This window comes from Homo sapiens, chromosome 2 (assembly GCF_000001405.40).
Source record: "Homo sapiens chromosome 2, GRCh38.p14 Primary Assembly".
Classification (NCBI taxonomy): domain Eukaryota; kingdom Metazoa; phylum Chordata; class Mammalia; order Primates; family Hominidae; genus Homo; species Homo sapiens.
Window position 1 is genome coordinate 240,119,172 of NC_000002.12, and position 19,040 is coordinate 240,138,211.

General features: G+C 51.1%; 1 protein-coding gene across 3 annotated transcripts, besides 3 other annotated features; it reads right to left on the minus strand.

The window, feature by feature from the left end:
- Window positions 1–7,376: 7,376 nt before the first annotated feature.
- COPS9 (COP9 signalosome subunit 9) lies at window positions 7,377–17,176 on the minus strand. 3 transcript variants are annotated; one of them, XM_017003411.2, is made up of 5 exons: window positions 17,051–17,134; window positions 14,762–14,834; window positions 11,884–11,917; window positions 10,740–10,857; window positions 7,377–7,769 (listed from the first exon to the last, which is right to left on the minus strand). In XM_017003411.2, exons 1-5 carry the CDS (start codon window positions 17,111–17,113, stop codon window positions 7,392–7,394), a joined length of 666 nt encoding a protein of 221 aa, XP_016858900.2. In that variant the 5' UTR covers window positions 17,114–17,134; the 3' UTR covers window positions 7,377–7,391. The 3 variants fall into 3 exon arrangements, with proteins under 3 accessions (XP_016858900.2, NP_612209.1, NP_001156896.1); NM_138336.1 differs by having other exon boundaries at window positions 7,392–7,769; window positions 17,021–17,176; NM_001163424.2 differs by lacking the exons at window positions 7,377–7,769; window positions 10,740–10,857 and having other exon boundaries at window positions 11,657–11,917.
- Window positions 16,946–16,995: a silencer, noted in NCBI's record as "silent region_12506". NCBI's record gives its function as "represses an Ori minimal core promoter by ATAC-STARR-seq in GM12878 lymphoblastoid cells {active_cell/tissue: GM12878}" and the evidence as "EXISTENCE:reporter gene assay evidence [ECO:0000049][PMID:35858748]".
- Window positions 17,436–17,535: an enhancer, noted in NCBI's record as "active region_17394". NCBI's record gives its function as "activates an Ori minimal core promoter by ATAC-STARR-seq in GM12878 lymphoblastoid cells {active_cell/tissue: GM12878}" and the evidence as "EXISTENCE:reporter gene assay evidence [ECO:0000049][PMID:35858748]".
- Window positions 17,546–17,655: an enhancer, noted in NCBI's record as "active region_17395". NCBI's record gives its function as "activates an Ori minimal core promoter by ATAC-STARR-seq in GM12878 lymphoblastoid cells {active_cell/tissue: GM12878}" and the evidence as "EXISTENCE:reporter gene assay evidence [ECO:0000049][PMID:35858748]".

Below are 19,040 nucleotides of genomic sequence, written 5' to 3' on the forward strand. Positions count from 1 at the left end.
TAAGCTGGAGCACAATGGCAAAATCTCGGCTCACTGCAACCTCCGCCTCCCAGGTTCAGAGATTCTCCTGCCTCAGTCTCCTGAGTAGCTGGGATTACAGGTGTGTGCCACCATGCCCAGCTAATTTTTTGTATTTTTAGTAGAGACAGGGTTTCACCATGTTGGCCAGGCTGGTCTTGAACTCCTGACCTCAGGTGATCCACCCTCCTTGGCCTCCCGTAGTCCTGGGATTATAGGCGTGAGCCACTGCGCCCAAGCTCATTTTACCTTAATTCCTTCTTTAAGGTTCTAGCTCCAAATACAGTCCTCTCTGAGGTACTGGGGATTAAGACTTCGAAATAATAAATTTGGAGGGAAGACAATTCAGTCCATAACACTGTACTCTTGCCACTCTGAAACTGATGTCCTTCTTATATTCAAAATGTATGAACCCCATCCAAATAGTCTCAAAAGCTTAACCAATTCTAACATCAACTCTTAAGTCCAAAAGTTTACGTAAATATAATCTATGCCAGGTATAGGTAAGAATCAAAGTATGATTTACTATGAAGCAAAATTCCTCTCCTGCTATAAAACCAGACACATTATCTGCTTCCAAAATACCGTGGTTGGATAAGCATAGGACAAACATCCCCATTCCAAAAGGGACAAAGCAGAAAGGAGAAAGAAGTGACAGGTCTCAACCAAGTCTGAAGCCTAGCCAAAGAAAAAAAAAATCATTAGACTTTTAAGACTCAAGAATAATTCTCTTTGACTCCATTCCCTGACCTCTGGGCCCACTGCGTCTGGCATATTTTGCTGAGAGCATGTTTCTGGGACTCATCCATGTTGATATTTGCATCAGTAGTTAACTTTTTTATTGCTGTGTACTATTCCATTGGATGGATATACTATACTTTTTTTTATACATTCTATTTGCTGATGGACATTTGAACATCAGTTTTTTTTCAGTTTCTGTATATTATGGATAAAGTTGCTATGAACATTGTGTACAAGATTTTTTGTGACATATGTTTTTATTTCTCTTAAATAAATGTCACGAAGTGAAATTGTTAGGTCATACTGAAAGTGTATGTTTGACTTTATAAGAACCTAGTCAATGCTTTTCCAAAGTGGCTGTACAATATACACTTCCACCAGTAGTGTGTCAGTTACAACAGCTTCATGTACTCCTCAGCATTTAGGATTGTCGGACTTTTAAAATTTTAGCTAGCCTAGTGGGTGTATAATAGTAGGTGTCACATTGCAGTGTTACTTTTGTATTTCTGTGATGAGTTTTGATGTGGCGTGTCTTGTTATGTGTTGATAGGTCATCGGTACATCTTCTTTGGTACAGTGTCTATTCAATGTTTGACCAATTTGAAGGGGAGATGTTTGTCTTCTTACAGAGTTTTGAGAGTTCTTTATATGGTCACATATATGTATTAAAATATATTCTCCTAATCTGTGGTTTGCCTTTCCATTTTATTAAGTGCTTTTTGAAGAGAAGTTTTTAATTTTGATGGAATCTAGTTTGTTTTTCTCCCTTTCTTTTCGATGTTCACATTGTTGGTTCCTGAAGTCTTTGCTTTCTGCAAGGCTATGAAGATTTGCTCCTACGATTTTTTTTCTAGAAGTTATGTAGCTTTACATCTTGATCCATTTCAAATTAACATGTATGTACAGTGTAAGGTCAGCACTGGATCATTTTATATTTCCACATGGATATCTAGTTCTTCCAATACCATTTGTTGAAGATTCTCCCTATTGAATTTCCTTAGCCCCTTTGTCACAATTCATCTGACCAAGCATGTGTGGGTTTATTTCTGGACTCTACATTCTGTTTCGGTGTCCAGTGTGGAACTACGATGAATAAAGCTGCTGGGCATTACTGGACACATCTCTGTGTCTGTGTGTGTGTGTGTGTGTGTGTGTGTGTGTGTGTGTGCACGCACGCACATATGCATCCATTTTTCTTAGGCAGGTACCTAAAAGTGGAAGCTGGGGAGAGGTGTTCCATAGGATAGATACAGGTTTCACTGGGGAGGGGTGTTCCATAGGTTAGATACAGGTTTCACTTAGGAAACTGCCAAACTTTTCCCCAGTGTGGTCAGATCCTTTTACACCCCCACCCACAGCCACCGTTCCAGGAGAGGCTCCACATCCCTGATGACTTTCAGTGCTGTATTCTTCATCTTAGACTTTCGCTGCAGACAGAAATGTGAAGTGATGCCTCACCGTGGTTTTGATTTGCATTTCTCTGATGAGTGAGGGTGTTGCCATCCTTTGAAGGTGCTTACTGATCATTTGCATACATTCATTTCTGAATGAGTTATCAATCAAATGCATTTTGCCCACTTTTTCATTAGCCTGTGCATGCTTTTATTGTTGATTTATGGGAATTCCTGTTACAGGCAACGTGTTCTGGACAAAGTGAGTCCCCTGTCAGACTCCTGTACTGTGCAGATCCCACCACAGTCTGTTCCTTCACTCCAGTATTTTTTGCTGAGCAGATATTTTTAATTTTTTGAGGTAGGTGTTGTCATAATCCTCATTTATGCAAATGGAAAACCCAGGCAAAAAAGTGTGATAACTTGCTCCAGGTCACACCTCGAGAGGGTAGACCTGGGAGCTGAGCCTGCGCTTCCTGCACGGGGCCCACACTGCACTGCTGCTCTCAGCCTCAACCCGTCCTTCCTCACACGGCCAGACCAGGCTGCACGAGTCACTGTGCCAGAGGGAGCTTCGGTTTGTTTATCAGCAAAGCCAGCGCGCCACGTCCATCTTGGGAACTTTCGGAAGATGAAATGATAGAATATGAATGCTGGGCTCAATGCTGGCTTTCAATGAATGGATCTTTTGAGATTGTTATGATCACTGGCAAGATGCTAAATAAATAAAAAACATAACTAACTGTTCTAAATGTTATTTTCATGGCAGGGTTGGTGGTTTTCCTGCCTCAGCAAGAGGGCTAGCAGGTGCTTTCAACATTTCCTTAGCTATACTGGATGCAGTTGGGGACATGGAGGTGAGCCTGCCAAGTGACAGGATAAATGGAATCTCAGCAAAATAAATTTTAAAGTTAAAATGGCCAAAGGGGGGGAGAAAACACAAACACCACCACACCACCCGAGGACTGCTGGCTGGAACAAATCATCCAGGCCTCCTGCCCTGCAGGAAGCTTCAATCTGCAGATCCACAAGAGACCTCCAAATTGTATAAATTCATTTCTTTCTTTTTTTTATGTGACCTGAATGACTAAAGGTAGTTTGTTTTATTTTATTTTATTTTTAATTATTATGCTTTAAGTTCTAGGGTACATGAGCACAACATGCAGGTTTGTTACATACGTATACATGTGCCATGTTGGTGTGCTGCACCTGTTAATTCGTCATTTACATTAGGTATATCTCCTAATGCTATCCCTCCCCTCTCCCCCAACCCCATGACAGGCCCCGGTGTGTGATGTTCCCTGCCCTGTGTCCAAGTGTTCTCATGGTTCAATTCCCACCTATGAGTGAGAACATGCGGTGTTTGGTTTTCTGTCCTTGAGAAAGTTTGCTGAGAATGATGTTTTCCAGCTTCATCCATGTCCCTACAAAGGACATGAATTCATCCTTTTTTATGGCTGCATAGTATTCCATGGTGTATATGTGCCACATTTTCTTAATCCAGTCTATCATTGATGGACATTTGGGTTGGTTCCAAGTCTTTGTTATTGTGAATAGTGCCGCAATAAACATACGTGTGCATGTGTCTTTATAGCAGCATGATTTACAATCTTTTGGGTATTTACCCAGTAATGGGATGGCTGGGTCAAATGGTATTTCTAGCTCTAGATCCTTGAGGAATCGCCACACTGTCTTCCACAATGGTTGAACTAGTTTACAGTCCCAGCAACAGTGAAAAAGTGTTCCTATTTCTCCACATCCTCTCCAGCACCTGTTGCTTCCTGACTTTTTAATGATTGCCATTCTAACTGGTGTGAGATGGTATCTCATTGTGGTTTGGATTTGCATTTCCCTGAGGCCAGTGATAATGAGCATTTTTTTCATATATCTCTTGGCTGCATAAATGTCTTGAGAAGTGTCTGTTCATATCCTTCTACAGTAACCAAAACAGCATGATACTGGTACCAAAACAGAGATATAAACCAATGGAACAGAACAGAGACCTCAGAAATAATACCACACATCTACAACCATCTAATCTTTGACAAACCTGACAAAAACAAGAAATGGGGAAAGGATTCCCTATTTAATAAGTGTGCTGGGAAAACTGGCTAGCCATATGTAGAAAGCTGAAACTGGATCCCTTCCCTACACCTTATACAAAAATTAACTCAAGATGGATTAAAGACTTACATGTTAGACCTAAAACCATAAAAACCCTAGAAGAAAACCTAGGCATTACCATTCAGGACATAGGCATGGGCAAGGACTTCATGTCTAAACCACCAAAAGCAATGGCAACAGAAACCAAAATTGACAAATGGGATCTAATTAAACTAAAGAGCTTCTGCACAGCAAAAGAAACTACCATCAGAGTGAACAGGCAACTTACAGAATGGGAGAAAATTTTTGCAATCTACCCATCTGACAAAGGGCTAATATCCAGAATCTACAAAGAACTTAAACATATTTACAAGAAAACATCAAACAACCCCATCAAAAAGTGGGCGAAGGATATGTATAAATTCATTTCTGTATTGCCATGATGTACGTAATTCTCAGTTGAGCAGAAATCACGGATGTCCGGGGCAGATTCCAGCTGAGACCCGCCTGTTTCCAGTCCAGAAGGTGCACTCATTCTCTAGGCAAACAGCCCCTCTGCAGGCGCCACCAGGGCCCTGACACCAGCAAGGTTTCCTCCAGTTCAGAGGACTGAGCCCTGCAGTCGGCCCCTCTTTTCAGCCCTGTGCTGATGAACAGCCCTGGACCCTGAAGGCCAGGCTTTCCTTCTCTGCTTCAGCTGCAAACAGGGAATCTAAGGAAATAGAGAGGGACCCCCGCTGGGGGCAGCCTCTGGGTCTGGGGAGAAAAGCCATCTGAACGCCACCTTCTGCCCAGCCCCTCGCTGATGCTCAGGCCCCCTGCCCACCCCAAATGGCCCCTCCCCTCCCTCGGGACTGTGCGTCCTCTCCCAAGGTTCTCCATCCACACTCCCCCAGGCCCCTCCAGAGTGGGGTCCGGGGCCTGCACCCACCCCCGGAACAGCTGCCCTGCCCTCGTGCTTTACAGTGGGTTCTCACAGCGGCCTTAGTGTTCATCCTTCCCCACAGGGCTGTAAGCACAGTCTTTCATGAAACATTCACATACACACACATACCTGTATGATCATATGCAGGGGTGTGATCATGGCCCGTGGGCCTAGGTGAGCCGCACAGTGCAAGCGTGTGGCGTTTTATACAGATTGATGCACGCGCCACATTTACACTCATCTAAAAAGTGTACACCTATGCACACACACAAAATGTCGATGTATACGTAAATCATTATGAATATGTGAGGTAACACCTACCTCTCTGCATCCCACATTTCCCAGCCACATGGCTTTGTGGAATCCCCTCCACACCAGCGGTTGAAACTCCAGCCCCTCTGCCCAGTGGGTGCAGGACCCCCGTGGTAGGGACACTCTGCCCGGTGGGTGCAGGACCCCCGTGGTAGGGACACTCCACCCAGTGGTGCAGGACCCTATAGTAGGGACATTCTCCCCAGTAGGTGCGGGACCCCATGTTAGGGATGTTCTGTCCAGTGGGTGTGGGACCCCATGATAGGGACGCTCTGCCTGGTAGATGCAGGACCCCACAGTAGGGACGCTCTGCCTGGTGGGTGCAGGACCCCATGATAGGGACGCTCTGCCTGGTGGGTGCAGGACCCCACAGTAGGGATGCTCTGCCTGGTGGGTGCAGGACCCCACAGTAGGGACACTCTGCCTGGTGGATGCAGGACCCCACAGTAGGGATGCTCTGCCTGGTGGGTGCGGGACTCCATGATAGGGACGCTCTGCCTGGTGGGTGCAGGACCCCACGGTAGGGATGCTCTGCCTGGTGGGTGCGGGACACCACGGTAAGGACGTGCAGGACCCCATGGTAGGGACACACCATAATTTCCTCTTTCAAGAATGAGCATTCATTTTGTTTCCATGTTTTTTGTCGTATGGAAAACATGCTGCAAACCCCACTTTCTTGTGTATCTTCAGTGTCATCGCCGTTACCATATTGCCATCAAGGAGCTGGTGGCAGAGCACACAGGTTGGGGGAAGAATGTTTGTCAGGTCCGCTGGGTCTGTAGCAGTGTTTAAGTCGGCTTTTTCCTCATTGACTTTCTCTGGATGGTCTGCCCGTGACTGTACCGTTCTGGAGTCTCCTACATTTTCGTATAGGAGTTCTGGAGTCTCCTATATTTTCGTATTCTAATTCTCCCTCTGGATCTGTCCATGTTTGCTTTACAGTCATGTACCACATAATGCCATTTTGGGCAAAAATAAGACGGCATATGCACCAGTGGCTTCATCAGATTATAACAGCACATTTTAACCATTCCTTTTCTAGGCTTAGATATGTTTAGATACTGTTGATGGAAGAAAAGAAGTCAAGCTTTGAAGGCATTTAAACCAGTGTTATTCAGAAGTCTTTCTGAGGACTCCAGACCGAGTCCTCCAGGCTGGGAGCAGCCCCTTGGCAAGGTCCTGTCCAACTGCCCCGCACAGGGTGTCAGTGCACTGCGGAGATGCAGGTGGTGGGGTTCAGGACACAGTCACGTTGAACCTGCTCAGAAGTTCCCTGAGAGCAGAATCGCATCGGCGTTTGTGCAGGACATCAGGTGGTAGATCGCACAGGCACAATCACTAACTCACAGGCATTACCTTGTGCAGGAAAGACATGGAACGCAGTGACTCGGGAGGGAGATGTGGGCGTGGCGTGTGCTCTGCCGTTTTGTCTTCAAAGCATCTTTGGAGCACTGCACACAGGGACTTTGCGAAATGATGCTGGCAAGCAGAAATGAGCAAACAGGGCTCCTTAGGTTTGACACTTTGTCTCACAACACACAAATGCTCAGCATTGTGTTCCGGTTGTCTCCAGGATTCAGTAGTCACGAGCTGTGCAGGTGTGTGGCCTAGGAGCAACAGGCTGGGTGTGTGGCCAGCTAAGCCATCTAGGTTTGTGTCAGTCACTCCGTGATATTGGAAGAATGACAGAATCACCTAATGAGGCATTTCTCAGAAGGGAACACCGTCACTAAGCGACACAGGACTCTGGGTAGGTGTTCTGACGTTGGGGCGTATAGACATGGGCACACGCCACATTGACACTCATCTAAAAAGCATGTGTCTCTGCACACACAGGAACACAATGGCTATTTGACATGTATATAAATAGATAACGTCGGAAACACACACCTCTCTGCATCCTACCTCACATCTATGCATGGCTGTGTGGTCTTCTTCCCTTCTTCTCCACCAGCAACGGATGGTGTTTCATCACTCTTAAAACATTTACCCCTCCAGTGAGTAGAAACTGATATTGTGCTGTCTTCGCTGACCTCTCGCCTGCTTCTTGTGGTTCTGAGCACCTCTAGATAACTTCCCAGCCACTTGGATTGGTTCTTCCGTAAACTGTTTCTTAAGCGTCCTGTGCCCATTTTCCCCTCACTTGTTGCTTTGTTGGTGCCACACAGCGGATGTTCTCTGCATCTGGTAAACATTAGCGCCTCCGCCCCCTGCCCATGGCCTGTGCTCCCAAACGCTCTGTCCAAAGCTGCCACTTCTCTCCCGTTCAGTTCACATCTCTGGGGAGAGACAAGGAAGCTCGTGACACTAGAACGAGGTCTGGTAGGTTTGCCTCTGGAATTCCGAGTGACCTGGGACAAGTCATTCTGTCCAGTGAGAAGACAAGTATTTCTACAAGGTACAGGAACTTAGGACAGAGAGGGGAAGGCTAAGTACAAGGACACAGGGTTCCTGGGACCCACAGGCTTGCTAGTAATAATTAACGGCGAATACCCAGGCAGCGCTTGGACTACTGTGCAGGGCACTGCCAGAGCATTTCCGAGCATTTCCCACAGGAGCTCGCTGACCCCCACCCCCACCCCTACCAGGAAGCCCCACAAGGCATCATTATGACCCCACCTTACAGCTCAGGCACAGGGAAATTCCAAACCACCCAGAGGCAGTTAGGCTTAGGTCCAGTCCCAGGGCCCCTGTTAACCAGTCTCTCTCTCTCTCTCTCAAACACACACTTCCTGACCAGGTAGTGCATCCCAGATGTGTTCAAGCTCCTGCCTTTGGGTGGCGTGGCACTGCCCACATCGGGCCATGTCTGCTCACCCTCCAATTGCAAGGTGCTACTGTTCAGAAATTTGTGTCCCCTCAAAATTCACATCGAATCCTCACCCCCAACCCCCAGGTGATGGTGTTAGGAGGTGGGACCTCTGGAGGGTGATTAGGTCATGGTGGCAGAGCCCTCATGAGTGGGATCAGCGTCCGTACAGGAGAGATCTGAGAGAGACCCCATGCCTCTTCCACAGCAAGGCACCACCTAAGAGTCACCAGGCTCAGTGCCCTTGGGGTGGCTTTCTCTTCTCTCCAAAAGATCCCAGGATTCCGTCATTTTCAAAGTCCCTCTGTTGTTGCTTGTTTACACTTAAGAAATGCCTGCTGAGCACCCTGACAAAGGGACCAGGCATCCCTCGATCAGGGTTGCTCTGCCTTGCTCAGCCAGCTGAGCAACCCTCCCTGGATTCACTGCCCCCCAAGTGACAGCCATCTCTGATGGCAGGCCACTCACACCCCCTCAAAAATCACCCAGGAACCATTAAAACCATTCAAGACATACTTGAGAGTAGTATTTTGGGACTAATTGGAGGCAATGATTATTCACACAAAACCTGCGCTGTGTGGCCAAGATGATGCCACCAAGGTGTGCTGAGAGTCCGGGTGCTGATCCAGGGCTGGAGGCGGGCAAAGCGCACAGCTCGCAGAAGGTGGGCGAATCACAGACCTTCCTCAAGCCTTTCCCTTGGGACACAGTCCCCTTTGCCACCCTGGGAGGCGTGTTACCAGAGATATAGTGTGGAGACTGCTGGAACCACGGTGGAGAAAGAAACTGTTGTGGAGAAAGATTTTCTAGGCCCAAGAAGCCAGTGGGCAGGCAGAAACAGGAAGTAGTTGAGTCCAGGGATCTTTGAGCCCTGGGGCCAGCTGTCCTTCTGTGAGCCTTCCAACAAATTCCTCTCTTGCATGGATTTTAATGGACAGTGCTTCCTTCTTTTCTCACAGAAGCGTCTTCTCCAGGACCCCAGAAGGCTCCCTCGCCCTCGGCCCATTCTGCTCCAAGACGCAGGCAGGCATTCCCCGCAGAGCTGTGCTGCCTTGCTGAGGTTCATTATCTGGCCGGCAGCTGAGCCTGCGGTCCCCCAGCAGCTTTCTAAATGTGGCAGGGATCGGTATAGAGGTCTCTGTGATGAAGGCGATCAGGTATAAAAACCGAGAAAATACCTCTTTGTCAGTGTAGGTGAAGACACATCACTGACAATGGCTGGAGTTTTGCCACGGGAGTGACCGTGGCTGGGCCCGTCAGCTGCAGTCCGATCACCCAGGTCATCACTCTTCCTGACAGCCTCACGGTGACAGCCGAGTCACACGGAGATGAGGAAGAAAAACAGGTGGCAATGCTCGTGGCCTCATGGTATTGAAGAAGCTGCAAGGATTCTGTGAAGGCAAAGGGAGGTCTCCTAGAGCCCACACAGGTCTCAACATGTGCAGAAGACACTGACATGCACACATGTGCAGACTGCTATTCACAAAGCAGCTTAGACCAGGCAAACCTGAAATTCTACGGCCCACACAGGAGCTTCTGGGGCTCACAGGCCTTGGTCTAGAAGGGGTGTGCCCATCTGCACTCTGCCTGAGTTCCTCTGCGGCAGCTCTCTTCTCCACCTGGGATCATTCCTTCCTGCTGAAGGCCAGAGGCTGACATCCCCATTCACCAAGGAGGAAACAGAGGCCCAGAGAAACATTTCTGGTTTTGTCTAGAGACAGGGTTTCCGTGGCCCAGGCTGGAGTGCAGTGGTGCAATTATCGCTCACTGCAATCCTGAACTCCTGGGCTGAAGTGATCCTCCTGCCCTAGCCTCCCAAACAGCTAGGACTATAGGCACGTGCCACCATGCTCAGCTCATTTTTTTAATTTTTGTATAGAGAGGGGGGTCTCGTTCTGTTGCCCAGGTTGGTCTCAAACTCTTGGCCTCAAGTGACCCTCCCGCCTCACCCTCCCCAAGAGCTGGGATTACAGGAGTGAGCCACTGTGCCCAGCCCTCCAAAGAAAGGAACGGATTCAGCAGGAGCCTGCAGCTCGCTGGCAGTGGTGTTTGCCACGGGCCAGTCTGAGTGTAGCCACAGCCCTTACCACTGTGTACTGCAGGCCCTGTGGGACTGCGATAAACCTCAGCTGAAGGGGAACTGCAGGGTAACCACCTGATCACGACAGAATTCACCCAAATACCTAGTTGTTCCCCACAGAGCCCTCTATGCCTGCTTTGAGGAATCCACTCATGAAACTGTAAAAACAACTCTCACGAAATGAATTGCAAGAACATAGCACTGAAAAACCCCACCCTCTCCAAGTGCAGACGACGTGCACGCCTGGCCGCTGGAAACCCTGCTCCTCGCCTGCAGATAAGCCACGTGGGTCTCAGAAACAAAGCGGCAGCCTCAACGTGCGGCCCAGTGCAGACCTTCTTACAGAGATGCACTTCTTACCTCTTCCGACACCACAGGCCGCTCTGCTGCCTTCCCACGGACCCCGTGCTCCGACTGCCCTCGCTGCAGTGCGGGAACCATGGAGGACTGCTGGCTTGTCCTGGGCAGTCCTGAGCTGCTGAGCCCCAACAAAGGACAGGAGCTCCATCAGGATGACAGGGTGGAAATCCACTCACCACTCATGAGAAAAAGAGGCAGAGCTGACATTCGGTTCTGCTTAAGATCTCACCTGGCCTCCAGTACAAATGTCTCTTCTGTAAACATGACAAGGTGACACCCTTCAGCGGGTTCTCAGTAGCGGGGGCAGCAGGTCCCTCCACTGAGGGGCTTTAACTCTGAAAATGGGAACTGCTGAAGTCCTGGGCCTGGGCGTCTCCTGGCCTGAGAAACACTCTTCACTTCGAGATGGATGTCAAACAGCAACTTCACTGCTTTACAGCCAGTATCGACTACTGAGCTGGGCCTACAGGAAACAAGACCCCTCTTCCCACATGGGCGTTACACTCTCCTTTGAAATGGACCAATGTGCATTTCCACGTAGAAGGCGTCTCCTGCAGTCGCATCCTGTCGTCCTAGTTCTTAAGCCTAGGGGCAGCTGCCCTGACGTGGAGGCCAGAGGACAGCATAAGGACGACTGTGCTGACAGACACACACAGTGGGAACCTGCCCACACAGCAGAGGGGCGGCCCCGTGGCAAGGTCCTCCAAGTGCTGTCAGCAGGCCCAGCTGTGCACGGGCCGCGCTGCCTCCTGCTCCAGCACATACAGCACCTTAACACAAGGTATCTGCTACCAGACAAATGTGGTTCTCTCAGCGTGCTGACAGATGCACGCACATGCATGCACACACAAACACACAGAGACGTTTAGGGACTGCAACATTCACTCATAAGTGCAAGAAAGAGATCACTCCACATGTGACATTGCTTTCTTTTAATTGGAGTGAGGACAAAACCTGATCCCGTTCAGAGATGAACAGAATCATCTAGGTCGTTAAGAACAGTCTTATCTTTCTGGTTAACCAGGTCCTAAATTCAAGGGATTTCCACGTGTTCTTTAAAACCACCTGAAACTGTCCTGCGCAGGCTCACACTGCGGCTCTGTACCAAGGGCTTGGCCCCGCCTGCAGCCAGAGGGCATCTCACTGGATGTCATCATCATCAAAAAGATCTTCAAAATCTAGGGAAATAAGCAAAACCACGTAGTTACACCTACAAGGGTAAGGGCTGAAGAAATCACTTCAGAATGAATTATATAGTAGTCCAAAATACAGAGATAATCGTCAATGATCCAATGAAATAAAAGACTTTTCCCGTAACAGACTTTCAGTTTCAGCCAACCAGGGCTCGTACATGTAGTCCAAGGGGAGAGTGTTGGCTAGAGTGCTTTCTAGCTTTCATTTAAAAGACAATCCTAAGAAAATGCATGCAGGGCTGTTCTGAGTCCCACGGACACCACCGCACAGCCACAACTCAGCACTCAGGACACGCCAGTGCCGTGTCTGCACCCACGAGTGCACGGGCACCCAAGATGCTGCCCTCGCTGCCGGGGCCGGGGAGAGATGAAGCTGGGAGGCACGTGCTGGGTCCTTGAGAGCAGAGGGAAACCAGCCGGCTGCCGCTGTGAGCATGAGAAAGCCGGGCTAGGCTGCAGAAAGGTGAAGCCTCCAGTAAGGGAGCGTGAATGATACTCAAGCCTGAGAAACACCTGCTAAGGCCCATTCTCACTGGAAGAAACGCAGCAAACACGTAGTGCCCTGCTTTGGGTGATCAAAATCAGGCCCCCCAGGAAAGATTTTGTCCTTCTGTTTAGTCTTCTGTGTTTTTCAAATTCCCTACTACAGGCAATCATCACTTTCACAATGGGAGGTGAAAATACAACTAAAAGCCCACCCACATGTACTGCGCACTGAAAATGTGCAGTATGAATTATGAACTAGAAAGAGGAGGTTCAACTCCTGGAGGGTCAGAGCGAAGAGAAAGGGGCCTGCTGGCACCACAGCATCCAGCCTTCCTGGGGAGGGTGGCGTCCCTGAGGCATCTCTGGATACTGCAGAGGGTCCCGACGCTCCCCAGCCACACTGATGCACCCCCACGTCCTCACTGCCTCCCGACTGCTGGTTGTGGTTCGCCGCTAGGAGCACTTTTGCGCAGTCCTGGGCCTGGCTGACTCCACACCTTCCGACCTCTGCTCTGCTGCCCCCTCTGGAGAAACCTCCCTCTGCAGTGCTCCCAGAAACAATGCCGTCCACGCTTTGCCAGGGCTCTTGTCACAGTCCAGCCCCTGCCTGCTGACTTGTCTGGACCCACAATTTTGTAAGACATGGCGAGGGAAGAGAGAGTGTCTCTTTCGTGGCTAGAACCCTGGTGCCCAGGGTGTAACAGCCCAGCAAACCCATCTGTTTGACGAGTAAAAAGGACTTAGCAAAAGCCTCATCCACAGCCCACAGAGGTCTCTCAAAGTAAATGGCTTCTTGAACACATGGGGTTGTCACAACCTGATGGGACAGTGAGTGCTTTGTGAACTTAGTGGGTGGGCAGGCAGGGGACACAGAGCTCTCCTGCGTCCCCTCCCTGACCGGCCGTGGCTCAAAGGCAGACACGCGCCCACAATGCTCAGGTTGCTGGGCGCTCACCTGACGGGTAGGACCTGGGTCCCTCTCAGAGATGCTTTCCCGTCAGGATTCAAGGGCTGACTCTGGAAGTCATGTGAACTCAAACACTAGAACACAGCAATCGCCTCTAACCAATGGGCTGGCAGAGGATAAATGGGACTTTGAAGGAGATCATCAAAATGCAAGCGTGTGGTGCCAGCATTAGCAACTGCCCAATCCTGCCCACGTGAAAAGCTTCAAAGTCGCCCTGGTGAGCTGGTGTTTTTGCAAAGCAGCTTTGGAGAGCGCTCTGCAGCTTTGTACAATTTGTTCCCTCTGAAGGCAACACCCTTCTCCCACCTCGCTCTGGCATAAAGAATTGAAATAAATGCTATTCAGTTCTCCAGGCTCATCTCAAATGTCATCTGCCTCAGTTCTGACTCCAGTTGGTAGCAGTAAGAATGCTGCCTCAGGGGCATGGCCAGGCACCCTGGGAAAGCCTGCACCCCAACTCAGCAGCTTGGCTGCTCCCCTCAGGCAATGGCTGCCTGACAGTAAGCCTGATGAAGCAGCAGGGACTCAGGATGGCAGGGGGTCTCTGGTAAATTAGAAACCGATGTGGCAAGCTCAGGTCCTAGCTGTTAACTAGTAACAAGAGCTTTCTGTAGAGAAAAGCACCATGGATTAAACCAGGATGAAAAATGCCACCTCACTCTCTGGAGTAAGAAACCTATCTTATTTACTTATTATTTGAACCCTTAGTAAAGGTTAATATCATCTATAGGAATAAGGCCTGAAGAAATCAGAAGAGAATGAGAAATATTCCCTCTAGCAGGTCTGAAGATGTTACAGAAAATTTGCTTTTCACTGTTCATTTGGTTTACCCATGTTTTTGGTAACTAGCACTGAAGCCCTTAAATCAAGAGGAAAACACATCCTGCGTCCTGATTTCAGAGCTGGGCAAGAGCTGGAGTATGGCTGTCCCTCTGCAAAGGCAGCTGAGGGCATGAGAACCCAGGCAGGCAAACACAGGTGGGCTGGGAGAGGAAAGGAAACCGGCTACCCGGAGAGGGCGGAGACAGGGAGACAGATGGGGTTCCTATGGCCGTGTGTGGGGTGAGGGCCCAGACCTGGCTACAGTCTGAGGTGTCCGCAGGCACATGTAACACGCATGCCAGAGCTCAAACTCAACTACTGGGCTGCAAGCTGGGAACAATTTCATGCTACTTTTCTCCTGAAAAATAAGGCTGCCTGCCAGTGGCCGCAGCCCGTGTCATCGCTCCACAGAGGCTGCACTGCATTCTGAGAGGAGCGCAGGGGCTCTACCACCTTATGATCCAAATTATTCATGTCACCAAGTTGCTTCACTGCCTTCACCTAGAGAAGAAATATTCAGATTAAATCTGGCATCCCATTCCAAGCATCCTTACCGTTAAAAAAGTCTGCATGAACGGCCTTTTCATTGGCTGCCAAGTCCATCAAGAGCCCGGTGCTGCCTCCCGCCTGGGGAATGGAAAGGCAAGGTTATGTCAGGTGCGTTTTCCGAAAGAACAGGTGATAAGTGCATTGCAGGGCCACTACCCCCACAAAAAAAGAAGATGGGTGAGGGGAAACAGGCTCAAGTTGGAGTCAACATTTTAGTTCCAGACACAGGAATGTGTATTGGGGGGAGGGGGAGGAATTCAAAGGAATGATTTTTAAGGTCTCTCAAGGGCTTCTGTTCCTTGATTCCTGTCTGCCTTTAAAAAAGAAACCTACCACTGACCTAAGCACCACTACTTCTCTGTGCCCCTCAAGGAGAGCTTTCCGATCCCTCGCCGGACATCGCCAGAGGCCACAAACATGCGAAATTGAGCCCATCGCCTCCACTCAGGATCCCTTCCCTCTCTCTTCTGGGAATGAAACCACTTCCCCGAGGAAACTGACCTGCTCTGCCTCTGAGGTTCTGGTGCCCCGCTGCTATCATGGACCGTCCACTGCCACAACTCCACGGCAGTGGAAAAACCATGTCACAACCCAAGCTGGGCAATCTGAAGCCCTCAGGATTTTGGGTCCTGTTTAGAGTCAACCGGTGACAGAGGGAGCAGATTCCTCTGACAGCAGCACCCTGGACAGCTGGCCACAGGTCCTGCTGCTGCCCTGGCCCCAGCATTCACAAGGCCGCTTGCTCAGACCTGCCCTGATCCCCACATAGCTGCATGCCCTTGTTCCCTTTCAGACACTCTCAGAAAAGCCAGGACACTCAGTCTCCTCCCCTGGCTTCTCAGCCACCCTCCCTGTCCCCATCAGCACAGTAAGCCACGCGCATTCTACCACTTGAAGCTTGTCCCTACCTCCATCTGCCTCATTCACACCCTCTTCAACTCTCCTGTTCTCCCTGCTCTCATTTTTCTACCCTCTCACCCGTAAATGCTGCCACCCTACAGAGCAAGTCGGAGCCTCTCACTCCCCACTGTAAAGCCCTCCGGTGGCTCCACATCGCCTAGGACTGTGAAGCCTAGGACTGTAAAACAGGACTGAGAAGCCTGGGTTTAATGGAAGTGCTTCGGGAGCGGGGTGCACAGAGCCACCCTCTTTAGCATGGTTCCAGATGGTTTCACGATCTGGGTAGGGAGAGAGTCCCTACCCACTGTCTCCCCTCTCTCTGGCACTGCACGCTCAACCATGTTAAACGACACAACATTCCCTTCCCTTGGTGAGCCAGTCGGCATCCCCCAACCCAGGGCTCTGCTCCTGCCGGGCCTTCATCCCCCACTACCTGGCAAACACCAATGTGTCCCCCAGCATTTGGCCACAGAGTCGACTCCTCAGCTGTACCTTTGCTGAGCCCCCTCAAAGCCCTGAGGGTCCATCCGTCGGTGCGCCTTCGGCTTTCTATGACACCTGGTATTTGCAATCAGCCGCTCTGCCATGCTATTACCTCCACAAGCACAAGGGCTGCCTCTGACCACCTCTGCAGCCCCTAAGCTTTGAGAAAGAGCACATAAGGCCCTGACATGTAGGAGCTGGCCTGCCACTCTGAGCTAGGCTGTGGTGCTCTCCTGCTGACCATAAACCATCTCAGAACGCTCACATCAGACAAGGTCACTCTGTGAACACAATAGAGACCAACAAAACCCCAAGACGACTGTATAATCCTGTATAATTAAAAAGAAGAACGAGGCCACTACGCAAAGCACATAAATGCCAGATGTCTCCTTTTCCGCTCCGACAGGAATGACGGCTGCTCCAGTCTTCCCTCATTCTAGTTAAGATTAAGAGGCCCAATCGGAGAATTATCCTCGCTTCCAAGGCACAGTAAAGCCCACTTTCTTCCCCCAAATCCCCTAACACGAGCTCAAATCCCACACGAGGTTATGGAGACGCACCGCGGGCCCCCATGGGGTGCTGCAGCCATCGAAGAGCAGCAAACGCAACTCCTCTGACCACGGGTGTGTTCCCGGGGGCCGTGGGGGCACCCAGCAGGCACTCAACCCTCAGGCTGCGCCTCCTGGTCCCCCGGGCTAGGGCACACGCTTCCCGCCGCGGTCGGTCGCCGCCTTTCACCAGGTGCTCGGAGAAACCGGGATTTGCTCTCCGCGGGGCAGGGAGCCTGGGAGCCGCGCCCATCGCCCACCCGCCCGGCCTCCCCTCCCCGGGACCCGCGCACCAGGACGCCGCCCTTCCGCTCCCCCTTCCCCGCTCCCCACGCTCGGAGACTCCCGCCGGGCCCGTGCCACCTCGTCCAGGTCCACGTAGGGCCCGGCGCCCTCGGGGAACATCTCGTCCACCGCCGGCTTCATCTCGGGGCCGCGGCGCTCTAGGCTCACTTCCGGCCTCAGAGCCGCTTCCGGCGCGCGCCACATGGCAGATCTAGACGCCGGAGGACCGCGCCTCTGTGGTGCCCGCCCGCTGGGGTGCTCCCGGCCGCCGGCGCGTCCGCGGCCACCGGCGTTTGTCTTTGCGCTGGCGAGGGCGGGCGTCTGCAACGCCTCTGATGGGCGGCCGGGCGGCCACGGGGAGAAAAGGCTGCCAGCAATGGGAGCAGTGCCTGCAGAGCACGCCTCCGACCAGAGGCCGGATCCAGAATAAAGAAGGAGCCTCAGACTCTGCCGCAAAGACGGCCGGGTTCACAGGAGCCCAGGGCTTGACCTTCAGACGTTTGTCTGAAGAAGACACACTCGCGGCCAGTGAGCAGATGAAGAGGTGAAAGCAAACCAGGGCCCCACGGCCGCTGCACCCCTGGGACGCCCAGAGTCAAAAAAACAGCAAAACACGGGTGGAAGGGTGCGCGGCACACGGGGCCCCTCGCACCGCGGCGGGGAGTGAGACGCGGCAGCCGGGGCGGGAGACGGGGGGGGGCAGGTCCCAGAAAATCAAACACGGACACCCACGTGGCCCAGCACTCCCCTTCCGGGCACAAGCCCAGAGGACCAAAAGCCGAGGCTCCAAGGGGCGTCTTTACCCCACGTTCACAGCAGCGTTATTTATAATAAATGAAAAAGGGAAGCGTCCCCCGCTGTCCCTGCCCATCGATGGATACGTGCATAAGCAAATGTGGGCCATGCACACTGTGGAACATTACTCAGCCTTTAAAAGGAAGGGAATGCCGACACCTGCTGCCACGCGCAGGAACATTGAGGACGCTCTGCCGAGGGAAACGGGCCAGTCCTAAGACAAACACCGCATGATTCCACTCAGCCGAGGCCCCTAGAGGAGTCAAAGTCATAGAGACAGAAAGTAGAAGGGGGTTATCAGGGTCTGGGGAAGGGGAAATGGGGAGTTCGTGTTTAGTGGGGACAGATTTTCAGCCTTGACAGATGAAAAGGATCTGTAGAGGCTGCTGGTGATGGCTGCACAGTTCGTGAATGTGCTTAACGTCACTGAAATGTGGTTAAGATGGAAACAATTTGTGAAGTTTTACCGTAATGAAAAAAACAACAAAAAAGAATGTGACAGAAATGCGAGGGAAAGGAGAAGGAAAGGGGTAAGAGGAGGGAGAAGGTTGGAGGAAGAGAGGGAGAGAGGAAGAACAGGGGAGGGAAGGAGAGAGAGCAACAGGTCCTGGAACTAGACTTTGCCAAAGATTCCTTGCTCAGCCAGACTTCGGTGGCCTCCTAACCTCCTCCCAGGCCCATCTGTGCACTGCATTGTCAGGTTCAGTTTTCGCAGAGAGCCCTGCTAAGTTGGTTTAGCCAGAGCCCCCCACCCTGGATATTGGATCGGGTTCCTGGTCCCCCAGCATCCCCAGGATGTCTGATGGCCCAGACCTGTCTTCAGCGAAAGCCCTGCGGGGTCGGCCGAGCCAGCATCCCGTCCCGCACTGTGTTCCTCCCAGTCATTTGCCACCCGCGACCCCACCTGCTCCTCAGCCGCAAACCCCCACTGCCTGTGCTGTTCGGAGCTGAGCCTGGTCTCCCTCCCCCACTGCAAGATCCCGTTGCAGTGGTCCCCACACCCGTCTCCAGGGTTCGGAACAACTTCTGAAAATTTCCAATAATGTTTTCCTTTAACAGGCCTTAGAGGAGTTGGGTTTGGGGGTTAGGCTGTAGAGAAGGGGAGTGGGGGGCGGCATGGATGAGGGTAGTTCCAGGGACAGGAATTGAGCTGAAATGTGAGGGGTGTGTGTGGCCTGAAAAGGGGCCGCCTGGCCTGAGTGGACAGTGTGGGACGCAGGGAGAAGCTGGCAGTGGATATTGGGTGAGCCTCATGCCATGCCAATGTGCATCA

Excerpts from the sequence above, each read along its gene's own strand:
- COPS9 (NM_138336.1), bottom strand. The coding sequence starts at position 17,176 with ATGTGGCGCGCGCCGGAAGCGGCTCTGAGGCCGGAAGTGAGCCTAGAG. Across the intron at positions 11,918-14,761 it reads TCATGCAGACTTTTTTAACG|ATTTTGAAGATCTTTTTGAT; the intron begins GTAAGGATGCTT and ends TTATTTCCCTAG. Across the intron at positions 7,770-10,739 it reads GGCCTGTGGTGTCGGAAGAG|AGATGTGAACTGAACGGGAG; the intron begins GTAAGAAGTGCA and ends GTCTCTCCCCAG.